Source organism: Homo sapiens, chromosome 14 (genome assembly GCF_000001405.40).
Source record: "Homo sapiens chromosome 14, GRCh38.p14 Primary Assembly".
Lineage (NCBI taxonomy): Eukaryota > Metazoa > Chordata > Mammalia > Primates > Hominidae > Homo > Homo sapiens.
This window is the reverse complement of record NC_000014.9, coordinates 67,047,594-67,063,755: the sequence shown is the minus strand read 5'-3', so window position 1 is coordinate 67,063,755 and position 16,162 is coordinate 67,047,594. Positions and strand designations below refer to the sequence as shown.

The 16,162-nt window shown below is 39.5% G+C and overlaps 1 protein-coding gene across 23 annotated transcripts in view, besides 1 other annotated feature; it reads right to left on the bottom strand.

Moving 5' to 3' along the window:
• GPHN (gephyrin) overlaps nucleotides 1-16,162 on the bottom strand; it is a 1,227,209-nt gene that overhangs the window by 671,600 nt on the left and 539,447 nt on the right. For all 23 annotated transcript variants that reach the window (XM_047430879.1, XM_011536340.4, XM_017020913.3 and 20 more), the window contains one exon: nucleotides 4,970-5,107. In XM_047430879.1, coding sequence (XP_047286835.1) covers nucleotides 4,970-5,107 — 138 coding nt within the window. The remainder of the gene's footprint in view (nucleotides 1-4,969; nucleotides 5,108-16,162) is intronic.
• Nucleotides 13,768-13,937: an enhancer, noted in NCBI's record as "experimental_36114 CRE fragment used in MPRA reporter constructs". NCBI's record gives its function as "activates a minimal promoter by MPRAs in K562 erythroleukemia cells, with activity observed for both the introgressed and non-introgressed 14:67516621 variant alleles {active_cell/tissue: K562}" and the evidence as "EXISTENCE:reporter gene assay evidence [ECO:0000049][PMID:34662402]".

Genomic DNA, 16,162 nt, shown 5'->3' with positions numbered 1-16,162 from the left:
ATTCCTATACACCAATAACAGACACATGGAGAGCCAAATCACGAGTGAACTCCCATTCACAATTGATACAAAGAGAATAAAATACCTAGGAATCCAATTTACAAGGGATGTGAAGGACCTCTTCAAGGAGAACTACAAATTACTGCTCAATGAAATAAAAGAGGACACAAACAAATGGAAGAACATTCCATGCTCATGGATAGAAGAATCAATATCATGAAAATGGCCATACTGCCCAAGGTAATTTATAGATTCAATGCCAACCCCATCAAGCTACCAATGACTTTCTTCACAGAATTGGAAAAGGCTACTTTAAAGCTCACATGGAACCAAAAAAGAGCTCTCATTGCCAAGACAATCCTAAGCAAAAATAACAAAGCTGGAAGCATCACACTACCAGACTTCAAACTACACTACAAGGCTACAGTAACCAAAACAGCATGGTACTAGTACCAAAACAGATATATAGACCAATGGAACAGAACAGAGGCCTCAGAAATAACACCACCCATCTACAACCATCTGATCTTTGACAATCCTGACAAAAACAAGAAATGGGAAAGGATTCCCTATTTAATAAATGGTGCTGGGAAAACTGGCTAGGCATATGTAGAAAGCTGAAACTGGAAAGCTGAAACTGGATCTTCCTTATACCTTATACAAAAATTAATTCAAGATGGATTAAAGACTTAAATGTTAGACCTAAAACCATAAAAATCCTAGAAGAAAACCTAGGCAATACCATTCAGGACATAGGCATGGGCAAGGACTTCATGACTAAAGCACAAAAAGCAATGGCAACAAAAGCAAAATTGATGAATGGGATCTAATTAAACTAAAGAACTTTCTGCACGGTAAAAGAAACTACCATCAGAGTGAATAGGCAACCTACAGAATGGGAGAAAATTTTTGCAATCTGCCCATCTGACAAAGGGCTAATATCCAGAATCTACTAAAAGAACTTAAACAAATTTACAAGAAAAAAACCAAACAACCCATCAAAAAGTGGGCAAAGGATATGAACAGACACTTCTCAAAAGAAGACATTTATGCAGCCAACAGACACAAGAAAAAATGCTCATTTGATCTCAAGTTACCCTCTTAGTCTTACTATTATATCTAAAGTGTTTCATGTACTATACTCTGAAATTCCTTCATAGAGTTCCCTGTGTCTATGACCTTCACAACAATCACTTTCAGCATTTTCTCTACATGTTAAGTCCTTAGTTTTCTGGGATTATTATTGAACCTTCTTAGACATATAAAAATCATTTTAGAGATGTCACAGCTTCAAATGCATGGATTCAGTTGGTCCTAGATTTTCCTTACAAAACACTGGCTTTCCTCTAAGGGCTTCTGTGATTGCAGGTGTTAGAGTGTTTGCAGAGGCAAAGTATTTGTAATTTCATAGAATGTGAAGGCCTTTTGGTTCCCCCAAATACTTTTTCCTACTCAGTGATTAATGAATGATATTAAATAGTTTAGAGGTACATCTAGCTGAAATCAAAACAAACTATAAAGGTTTGCTCATTAAAACGCAAATACACTTGGTAAAGAAAATATTCTAAAGTGTAGTGAGAATGAACTTCTACCTTTTTTTCTAGGCTTTATTTTACTTATGACAATTCAATTTACAGTGATTCACACTTACAGAACTCTGCTTTTTTTTTATATCCATGTTATTTATTAGGGCATTTAAAATTAATAGTGAACAAATATTTCAGTCAGTTGTCTTACAAAACATATGAAGAAGGTGCTATGGGAACACGAATGAAGAGTGTTTAACTCAGCTAGGGAAAGGGGGAAGCAGACATCAGGAAAGACTTCTTCATAAAGGAGAAGCATCTTAAGCTTGATCTTAAAGAATATGTGGTAGTTAGGCAGTAGTTAATATGTAGAGAAGTAAGATAAAGTTTTTCCAAGCAAAAACTATATAAGCAAAGGGGCCAGGCATGGTGGCTTATGCCTGTAATACTAGTACTTTGGGAGGCTAAGGCGAGAGGATCGCTTGAGGCTGAGAGTTGAGGGCCAGCCTGGGAAACATAGTGAGACCTAGTCTCTTAAAAAAAAAGGATATATAAATAAAGCCTTAGAGGTAAGAGAGAATAAGAAGTAAGAATCATCATGTCAGGTTTAGGGAGAAGCAAGGTCTGATGATAAGGAGGTAAGAGAAGAAACAAAAATATTAGAAGAAATCAGATTATAAAGGGCCTTTCATGACATGTTAAGGAGTTTGAATTTTATCTTGAGGTTATGAAAAAACTGCTGAAGAGTTGCGTGTAGGGAGTGTTAATAACGAATTAGCAAATTTGAACAGATTACTTTGGCATCAAATTGGAGAACGGATTGGGAAGATGTTAACTGGGGGGAGGGGAGCCTATAACAATTGTCCAGGAAGTTAATAATAAAGACCTAAACTGGGCCAGGCGCATTGGCTCACTCCTGTGAGCACTTTGAGAGGTCGAGGTGGGTGGATCACCTGAGACTGGGAGTTCGAGACCAGCCTGACCAACATGGAGAAACCCCATCTCTACTAAAAATACAAAATTAGCTGGGCATAGTGGTGCATGCCTGTAATCCCAGGTACTCAGGAGGCTGAGGCAGGAGAATCACTTGAACCTGGGAAGTGGAGGTTGCCGTGAACCGAGATCGTGCCATTGCACTCCAGACTGGGCAACAAGAGCAAAACTCCATCTCAGAAAAATAAAAAAAAGAAAAAAAACACCTAAACTAAAACAGTAACAGAGGGAATGTAGAACAAGGGACAGTTTTAAGAGGATGTAGAAAAACAAGTATTGTCGACAAAATAAGTTTAGTATTTGTCATGTTATATTTACTGGCAGCAGATACATAATACATTTAGAATATGAGTTTGGAGCTTGGACAAGCTCTGGGCAATGGTATAGACTTACAATTCACTTTATAAATGGTATCTGAAACTACTAGCCTGCATGAGGCCATCTGAAGTCAATGGACAAGATGTGAAAAGAGCCAAAGAAAAAAAACTGTAAAGAAAGCTTTTCAAGGAATTGACAAAGGAAGGCAAGCCTGTAAAGGAGCCAATTAAAGGAGACAAGTACCACATTAATTTACCCATCTCTTCTGCACTAGCCTATGAAATCCATGGGGCAGGAGTTTTATTTTTATTCATCTTTGCAAATACAGGACTTAACATAGTATCTGACATTTACTTGATGTTTATTAAATATTTGTTGAACAAAGTAAATTAAGTTTCTATGTATGATGGTTTCTAAACACCTAATCAAAGTGCCTAGGGGGTCTAATTACAATACCCATTTGCACAAAAAATTGAGTTTGATCCAATTCAAAGGTTTAATGTGAACCTCATTATTATTTTTCATCATCATAGGTGGAAACACTTGACAAAAAGTTATCCATCTATGAAGAGTCTGCTCAAGTACAAGTGACAACTGATTTGATGAACAAATGAATGGGAAACAAGCACATGAAGGGAAAAGAGAATACATATGACAGCATTTTTCTCTGGAGGAAAAATGAAATGGCAATTTCCAACTCTTTTTTTTTTTTTTTTAAATTAGAATGTCTCTTTAAATGTGACCTGGAATACATGGTGAGATTTTTCTAAGGACTGATGTTAAGGGAAACTCCTCTGAAATTATAAAAAAGAAAAAACCAGGGATGGTTTATTTATTTTTATAACAGGTAAAGTATTATTAATTTTTTTATAACTTAAGTTTACATTCATATTTTCTGAAAATGTCTTGGTTTCTACTGATACCAATAAATATCTCAACATTCTACCTTTAATAATAAACAAAACTATTCCATTAAAATTGTTCTGAAATCACATAGTTAATTCCTGACTAATCCCCTACTCTAGTGAGTTTTCTAATCTTTCCTTTATTGAGGAGTAAAAGAAAAACAAACGATTTAAGCCTAATGATATGCATATCTAAAAGAATGTGAACCAAAGACGTAGGATAAGGGCAAACTGTATAATAACAATCCTTGTCTAAGTGGGGACACAGACGAAAGAGCTAAAATCTGGCACCAGTAAGTTAGCTGCCATTATTTTTTATAATTTAATGGTTGAAGAAGAGCACAATTATGTAGTAAAAGGAAGAATGTAAATCTTGAGACCTTAATCCTATTCATTTTCTGCTATTCTGAGTTTGAGTTTCCTTGACAAAAAAATTAGGGTGTTTGTGCTCTCTACTGTTCATTGTAGTTTGAATATTTTATGATTCTATAAAGTTTTTTATTTATAAAATTAATTCTGTTGTGTTGTTTCTGCATAACAAATTAAGAAACTATATTTTATTCAAATTGCACTAAATACAACTTCTCTTTTTGGTGTTGGGGAGAAACCACAAGCTTTATTGGCTGGAAGTTCTCCTCAGGAGCCTGGTCTCCTGGAACTGGATGCCTAAATACAACTCCTATGCTGAATTTTTAGAAATGGAAGTTGTTAATTAAAAACAAAATACTGGGGAATGCTACCTTTCCGTTGTCTTAGTATCCATGGATAAATTAATATTTTTTTTTACATTTTTACATTTAAATACAGGTTTTCCAAACAGAAAAAGATGATTACAAGACATATTAGTTGTCTCCCATTTCTGACAGAAAGGACATCATACAGACTCAGAGTTAACTACTTTCCTCACTCAGTGCTGAGAACCCTTTCTTTAGTTTGCAGTATTGGTATTTTCATGGACAGCAGAAACACAGCTGATTTTCTTCCTTTTTTTTTTTTTTTCCTTTTTTTAATGAAAAGGCAGTTTCATGGATTTTACTCTGTATACTGTTAAGGCTGAACCCTTAGCCTTTTTCTTATTGAGTAGAAATAAGAAAAAAAAAGAATGATGATAACTGTAATAATGGTTAATAATCTTTCTTTTTCAGGAAAACTGTGCATTAATGTTACATGAATCTTATTTGGAAAAAAATGAAGAAAAGAAAGGGCAATGGTCAAATATAATAGTACCTCGGTAATTGATGATTTCTGTCCCAAGCACCGGAGTCATCTCCAGGACTGTGATAAAGGCTTTGTCCATAGATGTCAGAGGAAAAGGAGACATGCGATGTCTTCTAGCCACCTTGGTGATATCGACAGCACTGTGACCTAAACAGTAAGATAATTAACTAAGAATATGATGCTGTAACACTGATTAAAAAGTGGCAATGACTTATAATATCACAACTCCCAATTTCAAATGTCCCCAGATGAAGATTAGCAGGTAAGAAACTGTTTCTCCTGCCTCCAAAATACAGCCTGCTCTGGTGGAACATTAAATCAAGTTAGCAATGTTACATCATGTGTCAAAACCCAGTGGCTGCTCCAGACATGTTCAATGAACTGACTTAAAGGCACTACCCCAAAGGGTTTTCATTCTAAGACTAATGACATTGTCATAGGCACCTAAGAAAAATATATACAAAGTTGCTTATACTATTAATATGTGATTTCTTCTCATGGTCAATCAAAATCGCAAAATTTTCAAAGTTTGAAAAACCTTAGAGATTATTTATTGCTAGACAGAATTTTCTATTCAAATTGTGGGTGAACACTTAAAAAAGGATTGAAATATAAACTTATTTATAACTCATTTTCATTGAGGTCTTGACCTACTCATTCAAATATAAAAAAATCATTCACAACCAGTGTAACTAGGCAGAATGATATTGCTGCTTCTGCTTCTTATTCAGCTTTATAGGTCTCAGATCAGACAGTTTTTTTTTGTGATAGGCTGCACTTTATGGTGCAAACTGGATATAATCTTACAAAAGTTTCTTTTAAAAATATGTTTAGTTTCTGAGAAGAAAATTCTACTTTTTAGTTACATAGGTTTTATCTGTTGAATATGCTTTGTAATAGGCATTTTCTTATTAAACAGCAAGTTTGATGATCAGTGATACACATACCCATTCAACAAATATTTACTGACTGCATTTTATGAACCAGAAACAGTTAGGGACTTGGGATACTGACAGTAAAATATATCCTGCCATGAAGAATGTAACAGTCCAGCAGAAAGGTAAGAAAATGAAAGAAAGAGAAAGAGAACAAGAAAGAGAAAGAGGAAGGAAGGAAGGAAGCAAGAAAAGAAGGAGAAAGAAAAAGAGGGTAGTAAACCACCTGATGGTTCTGTTAAGTTTTATTTTTTTATTTTACTTATTTTATTTACTGTTCCAGGATACATGTGCAGGATGTGCAGGTTTGTTACATAGGTAAACTTGTGCCATGGTGGTTTGCTGCACGGATCAATCCATTACCTAGGTATTAGGCCCAGCTATTCTTTCTGATGCTCTCCTTCCCTGCAACCCTCTGACAGGACCCAGTGTGTGCTGTTGCCCCCCCCACCCATGTGCCCATGTGTTCTTGTTGTTCAACTCCCACTTTAAGTGAGAACATGCAGTGTTTGGTTTTCTGTTCCTGTGTTAGTTTACTGAGGATAATGGCTTCCAGCTCCCTCCCTGTCCCTGCAAAGGACATGATCTCATTCCTTTTTACGGCTGCATAGCATTCCATGGTGTATAGGTGAGAGGTGACAATATGCTAGCAGCCCCCACTCACTCTTGGCACCTCCTTGGCCTCACGTCCACTCTGGCTGCACTTAAGCCCTTCAGCCTGCCGCTGCACTGTGGGAACCCCTCTCTGGGCTGGCCGAGGCCAGAGCCGGCTCCCTCTGCTTGCAGGGAGGTGTGGAGGGAGAGGCGTGGGTGGGAACTGGGGCTGTGGGTGGCACTTGCGGGCCAGCACGAGTTCTGGGTGGGCGTGGGTACGGCGGGCCCTGCAGTGAGGGGCTTAGCCCCCAGGCCAGCAGCTGCGGAGGGTGTGCTGGGTCTCCCAGCATTGCCGACCCGCGAGCGCCCGCTCGAATTCTCGCTGGGCCTCAGCCGCCTCCTTGCGGGGCAGGGCTCAGGACCTGCAGCCCGCCATGCCTGAGTGACCCCCCCCCACCCCCACTGTGGGCTCCTGCCACGACAGGTGCCACCCCCTGCTCCACAGCGCCCAGTCCCATGGACTGCCCAAGGGCTGAGTGTGGGCACGTGGTGTGGGTCTGGTGGGCAGCTCCACCCACGGCCCTGGCGTGTGATCCACTAGGTGAAGCCAGCTGGGCTCCTGAGTCTGGTGGGGACTTGGAGAACTTTTATGTCTAGCTGGAGGATTGTATATGCACCAATCAGCACTCTGTGTCTAGCTCGGGTTTGTGGATGCACCAATCAGCGCTCTGTATCTAGCTAATCTGGTGGGGACTTAGAGAACTTTTATGTCTAGCTAGCGGATTGTACATCCACCAATCAGCACTCTGTGTCTAGCTAAAGGATTATAAACACACCAATCAGCACTCTGTGTCTAGCTCAAGGTTTATAAATGCACCAATCAGTGCTCTGCGTCTTGCTCAAGGTTTGTAAATGCACCAATCAGTGCTCTGTGTCTAGCTAATCTAGTGGGGACTTGGAGAACTTTTGTGTCTAGCTAAAGGATTGTAAATGCACCAATCAGCACTCTGTGTCTAGCTCAAGGTTTGTAAACGCACCAATCAGCAACCTGTGAAAACGGACCAATCAGCTCTCTGTAAAATGGGCCAATTGGCAGGATGTGGGTGAGGTCAGATAAGGGAATAAAAGCAGGCTGCCCAAGCCAGCAGCAGCAACCTGCTGGGGTCCCCCTCCATGCTGTGGAAGCTTTGTTCTTTCACTCTTCACAATAAATCTTGCTGCTGCTCACTCTTTGGGTCCGTGCTGCCTTTAAGAGCTGTAACACTCACGGTGAAGGTCTGCAGCTTCACTCCTGAAGCCAGCAAGACCACGAACCCACTGGAAGGAATGAACAACTCCAGCCGTGCCACCTTTAAGAGCTGTGACACTCACTGTGAAGGTCTGCAGCTTCACTCCTGAAGTCAGTGAGATCACGAACCCACCAGAAGGAAGAAATTCTGGACACATCTGAACATCTGAAGGAACAAACTCCGGACACACCATCTTTAAGAACTGTAACACTCACTGCGAGGGTCCGCGGCTTCATTCTTGAAGTCAGCGAGACCAAGAACTCACCAATTCTGGACACATAGGTACCACATTTTCTTTATCCAGTCTATCATTGATAGGCGTTTGGGTTGATTCCACGTCTTTGCTATTGTGAATAAATGCTGCAATGAGCATACGCATGCATGTATCTTTACAAAGGAATGATTTATATTCCTTTGGGTATATACCCAGTAATGGGATTGCTGGATCAAATGGTATATCTAGTTCTAGGTCTTTGAGGAATCACCACACTGTCTTCCACAATGGTTGAACTACCAACAGTGTAAAAGAGTTCCCATTTCTCCACAGCCTTGCCAGCATCTGTTGTTTCTTGACTTTTTAATAATTGCCATTCTGACTGGCCTGAGATGGTATCTCATTGTGTTTTTGATTTGCATTTCTCTAATGATCAGTGATGTTGAGCTTTTTTCCATGTTTGTTGGCTGCATGTATATCTTCTCTTGAGAAGTGTCTGTACATATCCTTTGCCCACTTTTAAATGGGGTTATTTTTTTCTTGTAGATTCTGGATATTAGACCTTTGTCTGAGGGATAGATTGCAATAATTTTCTCCCATTCTGTAGTTTGTCTCTTCACTCTGATGACAGTTTCTTTTGCTGTGCAGAAGCTCTTTAATTAGATCTCATTTGTCAATTTTTGCTTTTGTTGCAATTGCTTTTGACGTTTTTGTCACGAAATCTTTGTCCGTATCTATGTCCTGAATGGTATTGCCTAGATTTTCTTCTAGGATTTTTACAGTTTTGGGTTTTACATTTAAATATTTAATCCATCTTGACTTAACTTTTGTATAAGGTATAAGGAAAGGGTCCGGTTTCAATTTTCTGCATATGGCTAGCCAGTTCTCCCAGCACCATTTATTAAATAGCAAATCCTTTCCCCATTGCTTTTGTCAGGTTTGTTGAAGATCACATGGCTGTAGATGTGCAGTCTTAGTTTTGACTTCTATATTCTGTTCCACTGGTCTATGTGTCTGTTTTTGTACTACTACCATCTATTTTGGTTACTATAGCCTTGTAGTTGAGTTTGAAGTCAGATATGTGATGCCTTCAGCTTTGTTCTTTTTGCTTAGGATTGTCTTCATTATATAGGCTCTTTTTTGGTTCCATATGAACTTTAAAGTAGTTTTTTTCTAATTCTGTGAAAAATGTCAAGGGTAGTTTAATGGGAACAGCATTGAATCTATAAATTACTCTGGGCAGTATGGCCATTTTCATGATATTGATTCTTCCCATCCATGAGCGTGGAATGTTTTTCCATTTGTTTGTGTGCTCTCTGATTTCCTTGAGCAGCAGTTTGTAGTTCTCCTTGAAGAGGTCCTTCACTTCCCTTGTTAGCTGTATTCCTAGGTATTTTTTCTCTTTTTAGCAACTGTGAAAGGGAATTCATTCATGATTTGGCTTCCTGCTTGTCTACTGCTGGTGTATAGGAATGCTTGTGATTTTTGCACATTGATTTTGTACTTTGCTGAAGGTGCTTATCAGCTTAAGAAGCTTTGGGGCTGAGATGATGGGGTTTTCAGATATAGGAGTATGTCATCTGCAAACAGATGGCTTGACTTCCTCTCTTCCTATCTGAATATGCTTTATTTCTTTCTCTTGCCTGATTGCCCTGGCCAGAATTTCCAATTCTATGTTGAATAGGAGTGGTGAGAGAAGGCATCCTTGTCTTGTGCTGATTTTCAAGGGGAATGCTTTGAGCTTTTTCCCATTCAGTATGATATTGGCTGTGGGTTTGTCATAAATTGCTCTTATATTTTGAGGTATGTTCCAACAATACCTAGTTTATTGAAAGTTTTTAACATGAAGGGAAGTTGAATTTTATCAAAGGCCTTTTCTGTGTCTATTGAGATAATCATGCGGTTTTTGTGTTTAGTTCTGTTTATGTGATAAATCTCGTTTATTGATTTGCATATGTTGAACCAGCCTTGTATCTTGGGGATGAAGCTGTCTTGATCATGTGGATAAGCTTTTTGATGTGCTGCTGGATTCGGTTTGTCAGTATTTTATTGAGAATTTTTGCATCAATGATCATCAGGGATATTGGCCTGAAGTTTTCTTTTTTTGTTGTATCTCTGCCAGGTTTTGATATCAGGATGATGCTGGCCTCATAAAATGAGTCAGAGAGGAGTCCCTCCTTTTCAGTTGTTTAGAATAGTTTCAGAAGAAATGGTACCAGCTCCTCTTTGTACCTCTCGTAGAATTCGGCTGTGAATCCATCTGGTCCTGGGCTTTTTTTGGTTGGTAGGCTATTAATTACTGCCTCAATTTCAGAACTTGTTATTGTCTATTCAGAGATTCAACTTCTTCCTGGTTCTGTCTTGCGAGGGTGTGTGTGTCTAGGAATTTATCCATTTCTTCTAGATTTTCTAGTTTATTTGCATAGAGGTGTTTATAGTATTCTCTGATGGTTGTTCATATTTCTGTGGGGTCAGTGGTGATATCCCCTTTATCATTTTTTATTGTGTCTATTTGATTCTTCTCTCTTTCCTTATTAGTCTAGCTAGTAGTCTATTTTATTAATTTTTTTTTCCAAAAAAAAAAAAAACAAACCAGCTCCTAGATTCATTGATTTTTTTTAAGGTTTTTCGTGTCTCTATCTCCTTCAGTTCTGCTCTGATCTTGGTTATTTCTTGTCTTCTGCTAGCTTTGGCCTTTTTTTTTTCTTTTTTGCTCTTGGTTCTCTAGTTCTTTTAATTTTGATATTAGGACGTCAATTTGAGATCTTTTAACTTTCTGATGTGGGCATTTAGTGCTATAACTTGCCCTCTTAACGCTGCTTTGGCTGCGTCCCAGAGGTTCTGGCATGATGTCTCTTTATTCTCATTGGTTTCAAAGAACTTCTTGATTTCTGCCTTGATTTCGTTATTTATCCAGGAGTCATTCAGGGGCAGGTTGCTTAATTTCCATGTAGTTGTGTGGTTTTGAGTGAGTTTCTTAACCTTGAGTTCTAATTTTATTGCACTGTGGTCTGAGAGACTGTTTCTTCTGATTTCAGTTGTTTGGCATTTGTTAGGAGTGTTTTACTTCCAATTATGCAATCTTTTTAGGAGTAAGTGCCATATGGCACAAAGAAGAATATATATTCTGTTGTTTTTGGGTGGAGAGTTCTGTAGATATCTGTCAGGTCCACTTGATCCAGAGTTGAGTTTGGGTCCTGAATATCTTTGTTAATTTTTTGTCTCAGTGATCTAATATTGACAGTGCAGTATTAAAGCCTCCCACTATTATTGTGTGGGAGTCTAAGTCTCTTTGTAGGTCTCTAAGAACTTGTTTTATGAATCTAGGTCCTCCTGTATATTTAGGATAGTTAGCACTTCTTGTTGAATTGAGCCCTTTACCGTTATGTAATGCCCTTGTCTTTTTTGATCTTTTTTTTTTTTTGGTTTAATGTCTGTTTTGTAAGACTTTAACACTAGGATTGCAACCCCTGGTTTTCTCTGCTATTTGCTTGGTAAAATTTCCTCCATCTCTTTATTTTGAGCCTATGTGTGTCTTTGCACATGAGATGGGTCTCTTTAATACAGCACATTGATGGGTCTTGACTCTTTATCCAGCTTGCCATTCTGTGTCTTTCAACTGGAGGCATTTAGCTCATTTACATTTAAGGTTAATATATTTGTGAATTTGATCCTGTCATCATGATGCTAGCTGGTTATTTTGCAGACTTGTTGATGTAGTTGCTTCGAAGCGTCATTGGTCTGTGTACTTTAGTGTGTGTTTGTAGTGGCAGGTATTGGTTTTTTCTTTCCATATTTAGTGCTTCTCTCAGGAGCTCCTGCAAGGCAGGCCTGGTGGTGACAAATTCCCTCAGTATTTGTTTTTCTGAAAAGGATTTTATTTTTCCTTCACTTTACGAAGTTTAGTTTGGCTGGTTATGAAATTCTGGGTTGGAAATTCTTTCTTTTAAGGATACTGAATATTGGCCCCCAATCTCTTCTGGCTTGTAGGGTTTCTGCTGAGAGGTCCACTGTTAGTCTGATGGGCTTCCCTTTATAGGTAACCTGGCCTTTTTCTCTGGCTGCCCTTAATACTTTCCCTTCATTTTTACTTTGGAGAATCTGATGATTATGTGTCTTGGGGATGACCTTTCTTCTCATGGAGTATCTTACTGTGGTTCTCTGGATTTCCTGAATTTGAATGTTGGCCTATCTTGCTAGGTTGGGGAAGTTCTGGATGATATCCTGATGTACGTTTTCCAACTTGGTTCCATTCTCCCATCTCTTTCAGGTACCCCAATCAGTTGTAGGTTTGGTCTTTTTACATAATCCCATAGTTCTCAGAGGTTTTGTTCATTCCTTTTCATTCTTTTTTCTCTAATCTTGTCTGCCTGTCTTATTTCAGCAAGATAGTCTTCAAGCTCCGAAATTCCTTCCTTCCCTTGGTCTATCCAGCTATTGATACTTGTGGTTGTATTATGAAGTTCTTGTGTTGTGTTTTTCAGCTCCATCAGGTTATTTATTTTCCTCTCTAAACTGGCAGACTGGAGCTGCAGTGATGGCAGCCGTCTCTCCCCGCAGGAGCTCAGTTGTCTTGGCAGCAGGCAGTTGCAGTGATGGCAGCCACTCCTCCCACTGGGAGCTCAGTCATCTCTGGCAGCAGGCAGCTGCAGTGATGGCAGCCGCCCCCTCCCCTAGGAACTTGGTTGTCTTAGGCAGTCTCCACCTGAGCGGCTGCCAAGAATCTGCACAGTTCTGTGCTTGGGAACCAAGGCCTGGGTGGTGTGGACTTATGAGGGGAATCTCCTGATCTGTGGGTTGCACAGATCCATGGAAAAAGCATGGTTCCCCAGGCGGGGTAGCACAATCACTCACTACCTCCCTTGGCTGGGAGTGGGAGTTCCCCTTCCCCTGTGTGGATCCTGGGTTGGCTGTCACTCCACTCTGCTTTTCCTCACTTACCATGGGTTGCACCAACTGCCTGGTCAGTCCTAGTGAGAGAACCTGGATACCTCAAGTTGCTGGCATAGGATTTACTCGCTGTTTTCATTCTTCTACGTGGGAGCCTCCAACCGTAGCTGTTTTTAGTTGGTCATCTTGGCCCCTCCTTGTTTTTTTTTCTTGTTGTTTGGAAATTGCAGTATGGTTATCTACTGGCAGGAATAATCTCTTCCATCACTAAAGTAATGTTATACCTTGTTTATATTTGTCTTCTGGTATCTATCACTCTCCATCTTATGCTATAGATATTTAAATATTTGCCTTACCTCTGCTAGTAGATGGTAAACTCATTGAAGACAGAGCCTATGTCTTATTAATCTTTGTATTCTCTGTCACTTTTAGAATAGTGCCTTCCTTACACTTATAGTAGATACTCAGTAAATACTTGGGGTATTTAATGAATGGCAAATCTTTCAAACAAAGTCCAAAATTGGGAAGCAAAAAGTAAAGCAGTGCTTTCTGCTGTCATTTTACTTCTCTAAGCCACTGAATATTTATAAAGTCTTTGTCATAAAGTGATTACCTCACCGGAAAAATAATTTGTACTTTTTTATAGACCTATAGTATAAACATTTTATTTAAAATTTATTTTTAATTGGCAAAAATTTTATATATGCATGGTGTATACCATGATGTTTTGAGATATGCATACATTGTGGAATAACTTAATTGAAGAAATTAACATACTGTGGTGCTATTGGATTGATACCGGTCCTTGGTTAAACTATTTGCATGTTAACACAAGGACCTTTGGATATATAACAAATTAACTAAAAGCAATGTCTCAAAGGAGGAGTATTGTAATTCTCTGGCACATCAGCAGGTAGGGTTGTGTGTGCATGCATGTGTGTGCGTGCGTGTGTTTTCAATATCAATTAAGCACCTTTTTATGTGCCACGAGGCTTCTTCCCACTCAAGACTCACCCCAAATTATACAGTAATTAGCTACTTCGCCAATAAAAAAACCTACTTCAGCCGGGCGCGGTGGCTCACGCCTGTAATCCCAGCACTTTGGGAGGCTGAGGTGGGCGGATCACGAGGTCAAATGATCAAGACCATCCTGGCCAACATGGTGAAACCCCGTCTCTACTAAAAATACAAAAATTAGCTGGTCGTGGTGGCGCATGCCTGTAGTCCCAGCTACTCGGGAGGCTGAGGCAGAAGAATTGCTTGAACCCAGGAGGCGGAGGTTGCAGTGAGCTGAGATCACGCCCCTGCACTCCAGCCTGGCAACAGAGCGAGACTCTGTCTCAAAAAAAAAAAAAAGTTGTCACAGACTTCTCTTATTTTGTAAATTACAAACCCAAAGCACCTCTTACTGTCTTGGGCCATTAGAAAACATCCTGGCTAACACGGTGAAACCCCGTCTCTACTAAAAATACAAAAAAATTAGCCGGGTGTGGTGGCGGGCGCCTGTAGTCCCAGCTACTCCGGAGGCTGAGGCAGGAGAAAGGCGTGAACCCGGGAGGCGGAGCTTGCAGTGAGCCGAGATGGTGCCACTGCACTCCAGCCTGGGCGACACGGTGAGACTCTCTCTCAAAACAACAACAACAACAACAACAACAACAACAAACTTAATCAGCAGGAAAAAGGACCAAAAAATGTTGATTGTTTCTCTTGTTGATTGTGACTGTAGAACAGAAGTTTGTTAGAAGAGAAAAAAAAATTGAGAAAAAAGTATGCACTTTTTCCTCTTGAAGGCCCCAGTGAGTTATCACCTAGCAGCCGGTAGCCCATAAAACCCCTTTAGGCAGAAACAGGAAAGGAAGGAATGAAACATTTTAAAAAAGGTAAGGTTATAATGAAAAATAAGTTTTACTTTTGGATAGAAAAAATAGTTTCCTATGAAGCAAAACTATTTCATGGCCACAAATATATTCTGATAGCTACCTTACAAATGATTACTAATGGTCACAAAGAGAATCTGCGAGGGCATTAGCTTTATTAAACTCATATGTATTACAAAACATGTGAAAATACATGTCCCACTGAGAAGATCATAGCATTCAAGAGAATACTCACTTTAATTTACAATATTAAAATTACCTGGTGATATCACTGTTACTGTTAATTTGCAGGTAGACTAGCTTGTTTGGTAAAAATAAACTACAAGGTTCTTTAGGATATAGGATTTTTATTTGAGAGTTGGGGCAGAGGTAGGGGAGGGAGTCTAGACATCTTCCCCACTATAGCTGTCTGAACTGAGCTAAGGAGCTAAGAGTGACAGACTGAATTATTATAACATCTAAACTGACAGCATTCCCCTGCAATGGGTTTACTTTTCTTAAGTAGATTTGTAGGATTAAAGCTATTCTAAAGTGGGCACAAATTGATGCTACAGGTTTCTCTAATGAGCCTACAGTTCCATAAGTACAACTTAACTTGTCTCTTACATTTTCCAGTTTAGTCCAGAGATGAGGTTGACTATATTTTAGTTCAGAATTTTTGCAGAGGAAGTAATAAAAATGTTAGTGAGATTTCCTATCCTCCATGGTACAGTTATAATCACTGAAAAGACTATGTAAGAACTCAGCGCAAAATGAATAGGGGTTCACTCAGGATTGTCATCATCAAAGACATGGTTAAATACTAATGACACTATCTATGATGTAGAAAGCCTCCAAAGGGTCACAGAAAGTACAAATGGATTCCTTTCTACTGAGCAGAGTAACAATATGGATCTTTGTTATCTATCAGTAACCTTTTTTTGTGGTGTGGTCATCTTGAAATGGAGCTATTTATACCAATGAAATTATTTTTCTCAGTTAAAATGCATCCTCTTAAACCAGTCAGTTCTTAATATACAATGTTTCATCTTGGTTTTGAGACAGGGTCTGGCTTTGTTGCTCAGGCTGGAGTGCAGTTGCGTGATCACGGCTCACTGCAACTTTGACCTGCTGGCTCAAATGATCCTCCTGTCTCACCCCATCGAGTAGCTGGCACCACAGGTGCACACCACCATACCTGGCTAATTTTCTGATGTTTTGCACAGATGGGGTCTCCCTATGTTGCTCAGACTGGTTTCAAACCCCTGGCCTCCCAAAGTGTTAGGATTACAGGTGTGAGCCACCATGACCGGCCTTCCCTGAAAATCCATTTTTAAAATGAAAAGGAAATGGGTCGGGTGCAATGGCTCATGTCTGTAATCCTAACACTTTGGGAGGCTGACACAGGTGGACTGCCTGAACTC